Source organism: Homo sapiens, chromosome 1, assembly GCF_000001405.40.
Source record: "Homo sapiens chromosome 1, GRCh38.p14 Primary Assembly".
NCBI lineage: Eukaryota > Metazoa > Chordata > Mammalia > Primates > Hominidae > Homo > Homo sapiens.
Window position 1 is genome coordinate 43,069,494 of NC_000001.11, and position 4,393 is coordinate 43,073,886.

The 4,393-nt window shown below is 49.5% G+C and overlaps 1 annotated feature.

The window, feature by feature from the left end:
• Positions 1-968: an enhancer, noted in NCBI's record as "H3K27ac-H3K4me1 hESC enhancer chr1:43535165-43536132 (GRCh37/hg19 assembly coordinates)". NCBI's record gives its function as "activates a minimal SCP1, AML or CMV promoter by ChIP-STARR-seq in primed H9 embryonic stem cells {active_cell/tissue: H9 hESC(primed)}" and the evidence as "EXISTENCE:reporter gene assay evidence [ECO:0000049][PMID:30033119]".

Sequence of the window (4,393 nt, forward strand, 5' to 3'; positions counted from 1 at the left end):
TGTGGGGGCTCAGGGGAGGAGGGAGGATGGCAGGCGCATGGGGGCGACTGCTGAGTGGACACGTGACCTCCCGCTATGCATGTGCCTGTGTGTCTGCACAGAATGAATATCTCTGTGATGTTCTTATGCACATGTGCCTCTGAGAACGGATCGTGGTGGCTCTGGCGGGGTGGGCGTATTGTATCTGTGGGTGCTGTTTGTGCCTGGGCACCTTGACCCTGCCAGGATCTGCGTTATCTCTCCGAGTCTGTGTGTTTGTGGCTGAACCTGTATCTATGAGTCTTTGTGTGTGTCTGGGTTTCCGCCCCCAACAGAGCCTGAATGCCATTTTGCTGCCTGAATGTGCAGAGGAATGTAGGGGGCCAAGGGAGAGGGGAGCACATGTCCTGGGCTGTGGGCCTGCTGGTTATGGAAAACTACTGAGGCCTCCTGGAGCTGGGCAGGCCAGGCCCGGCCCAGAGCCAGGCTCTGCAGCTTTTGCCCTTCCAGGCTCCTCCCACCCCTTCTCTGCAGGGCTGGGGACCTGCTGAGATGGGTTCTTGGTGGAGCAGAGAGCATGGCCTCCCTCCCACCACTCCCCAGATGGTTTGCCAGGCCTGGGGGAAAAGTAAGAGGGCGAGATTAGTTTCCTCTGAAGTCCTCCCAGCCCCAACATTCTCTCCATTCTGTGAATGTTAAAGGGATTTTAAAAAGGCAACTTCACCTCTATTTTGGGGGATGGTGAAAGCAGTAGGGTCTCAGACTGTTAGAGCAAGAAGGCTCCTAAAGATTATCTAGTCCCACCCCCTCCGTCTTACAGATGAGGGCACAGGCCCAGAGTGAGGGATCTGGATCCCCCAATCACCTTCTGGAAGGGCAAGGACCATGTTATCAGGTCCGCTGTCTCCCCATCACCACAGGCCTCTCCTCCATCATGCTGCATGACCTACCCTGGGTAGAGGAAGAGGAATTTGAGAAGGCCTTGGAGGGAGCATTTTGACATATGGAGGTGGGGTTGAGACTCTGGGTGGCAAGAAGACATGGGTTAAGGTGTGGAAGTGGGCAGCTGAGGAGTGCGGTCAGAATGGAGAGTGGGACAATTGGACACACTGGGTCCTAGGACTGAAATGGCGTGTCTGAGCTATACATGAGGGTCCCCGCAGACCAGGTGGAAGCATGTGGACTTTATCCTGTAGGTGATTCTGGTAAGAGGTAAAATTGCCATGTAGCTGAGTGGTTTAGGGCACATGATCTGCAGTCGAATCAGATTATCTTGTATTCCAATCCCAGCTCTAAGACTTTGGTAACTGTATAACCACACATCCCTGAGCAGATTAAACGCTCCATACCTCACTTTTCTCATCATTGGAATGGAGGTAATAGGCCATGCATGGTGGCTTGCATCTATAATCCCAGCACTTTGGGAGGCCGAGACAGGACAATAGCTTGAGTCCAGGAGTTTGAGACCAGCCTGGACAATGTAGTGAGGCCTTGTCTCTATTAAGAAAAAAAAAAAAAGAAATGGAGATAATGATAGTATTTCCCTTCCATGTTTGTCTTGAGGAATAAAGGAGAATACAGGCAAAGCCCTCAATGCCTGACACTGGTCAGTGCTCAGTAATAGCTGTGATGCTCCTGGTGGTGAGGCCTGTATTTAAGGCTAGCCCAGAGGGACAGAGAGAGGACAGGGACACCAGTGGGGAGTCCACGAGAATCATGTGGATGAGATGCCACGCTGAGGTCCATGACGCTGTCCCCTGGGTTAACTGGCTGGAGTCCTCAGCAGGGCTGCAGGAAGGTGGGCAGAACCCCCTCCACTGAGTGGCCTTGAGTTTGTTCCTGGGTGACCAGCACCTGAAAAACCATTTTCAGAGGAGGATTGGTGGGATGGGGAGGAGACTGGGGAGAGATGGGGCTCAGCTTCTGACAGCCTGAGGGTAGTGGGGTGGGGCCCGGGAGAGATTTGGGAAGCTCAGGTCACTCATTGCTCGTGGTGCTGGAAGTTGCTGGTTTGGGTGAGGTCATGCACCAGCCTAAGAGAGAGGAAAGGTGCCCTGCAACCCAGGGAACCCCTTTTGAGCCAGACCCTTGGGAGAAGCAGCAGCCACAGGGGCTAAGGAAACCAAGGTAAGCAGTGGTCAGAGAAGGTGAGGGAAGAATGTGCTTCAAGGAGGGAGCAGTCAAGACAGCCCCGTCTGGGGAAACAGCCAGGTGAGGAGGTAGAGGTGGAGGAAAAGGCAGCACAGAGGCCATGGGCTTTGGCATTGAAGAGGCCACCTCTGTAGAATCTGCTTTGCAGAAGAGGGAACAAAACCCAAGCTGCGGCTAGATGAGGGATTAATTAATGGGATGGGGAAGTGGAAACAGAGGCAGGTGTCCTGTGACTGCTCAGCAGCTTGGCTGAGGAGAAGGGGGAACGATTTGTGGCAGCCAGACAGGGGAGGTTCGGAGCCTTCTGGGGATGGGATGACAGGGGTGATATTCTCATATTTCCAGTGGAGAAACTGAGGCTCAGAGGGTTAAGAAGCTTGTGCAAAGTCACGATAAATTATTGGGGGAAGGCAGCCCAAGATCTCTGACTCTTAATGTAGTAATTTTCTAAATGGACAATTGAAATAGTGTAATACACACACACACACACACACACGGATATTAGTTCTGATCATAGAAGTAAAACATGTGCATGGGAGAAACCTAGAAACATGTGCAAAAATGTAAGAGAAAAACACAAAAATCACCTGTAATTCTACCACACAGAGATAAATGTTTTTACCATTGTGTGTCATGACTTTCTACTTTTTTCCTCTGCAAGTATACGTAAATACATACTGGGATCATGTTGCACAAGGTGTTTTGTAAATCCCTTGTTTCATTTAGTAACATAGCATAAATGCTTTTCCATAAGAATAAATATTCCTTGAGAATTTTTTTTTCTCTTTTAGCTCACAGTCTAGGCAGGAAGATAAGACTTACAGATGGGATTCTACAGTAAGCAGTCAAGCAAAATTCATGAGGTGGTGGCGAAGTGGCTGCATCCCTGGACTGGGAGCACAGTGAGCTGGCTCTTTGGCTTCTGACTTGTCCACTGATTGGTTATGTGGCCTTCAGCACACATAACGTATTTGGGCCTCAGAATCCCAGATATCTCCAAAGGGTTATCAATGAGTCTCTCAAGGCAAGCTGTCATGATGACAAAAGTGTTGAGGGAGAGTCTTAGAAAATGAAACCATGCCGGGCACGGTGGCTCACACCTGTAATCTTAGTATTCTGGGAGGCTGAGGTGGGTGGATCACCTTAGGTCAGGAGTTCAAGACCAGCCTGGCCAACACGATGAAACCCCATCTCTAAAATACAAAAATGAGCTGGGCATGGTGGCACGTGTCTGTAGTCCCAGCTACTCGGGAGTCTGAGGCAAAATAATCACTTGAACCCAGGAGGCGGAGGCTGCAGTGAGCTGAGATCACACCACGGCACTTCAGCCTGGGCAACAGAGCGAAACTCCATCTCAAAATAAAACCCAACAACAACAAAAAGGAAATGAAACCACATTATCATCATGATTCCGCAGGTCAATTTCTTTATCTGAAACTTGGGAAGCGTGTTTACCTACCTTGCCTGCCAGGATTGGTGATAATCAAATTAGATTAATTATTATTTTTTTTGAGACGGAGTCTCGCTCTGTCACCCAGGCTGGAGTGCAGTGACATGATCTCAGCTCACTGCAGTCTCTGCCTCCTGGGTTCCAGCAATTCTTCTGCCTCAGCCTCCCAGGTAGCTGGGATTACAAGCATGTACCATTACGCCTGGCTAATTTTTGTATTTTTCATAGAGACAGGGTTTCACCATGTAGGCCAAGCTGGTCTTGAACTCCTGACCTCAGGTGATCCGCCCACATTGGGCTCCCAAAATGCTAGGATTACAGGCTTGGGCCACCATGCCCGGCCTAGATTAATTATGATGTCTAAAAACAACTAATATTTGGACAATGTTTTGCTGTTTACCCACATTATCTCACTTAATCATTCCAACAATCCTATGGGGTAGGTACTGTTTTTGTATTCTATGTTTCCGGATAAGGAAACCATGGCTTGGAGAGATGGTGTCACTTGCTCAAGGTCAAAGGTAGTGAGTGGTAGAGTTGGGATTCAAACGTAGCTCTCCTTGTTACTAAAGCCATGAATCTTTGCACTGTGCCATTGTGATGTGTGATGCAGGCCTGCAGAGCAGTAGAGGGACATGGAAAAGAGGAAAAGAGAAAAAAAAGAGTAGAAAGTCAAGCTGCTTCATCCTTGGTTTAGCCGTTGTCGTCCCAGGTACCAACATCTGTGGGGAGTTGCCGCCCCCTGGTGTTCTATATGTGATATGTCCTGGAAGGGAGGAGAGCTAGCAATCTGCTTGCTCCACAGTAAAAGTG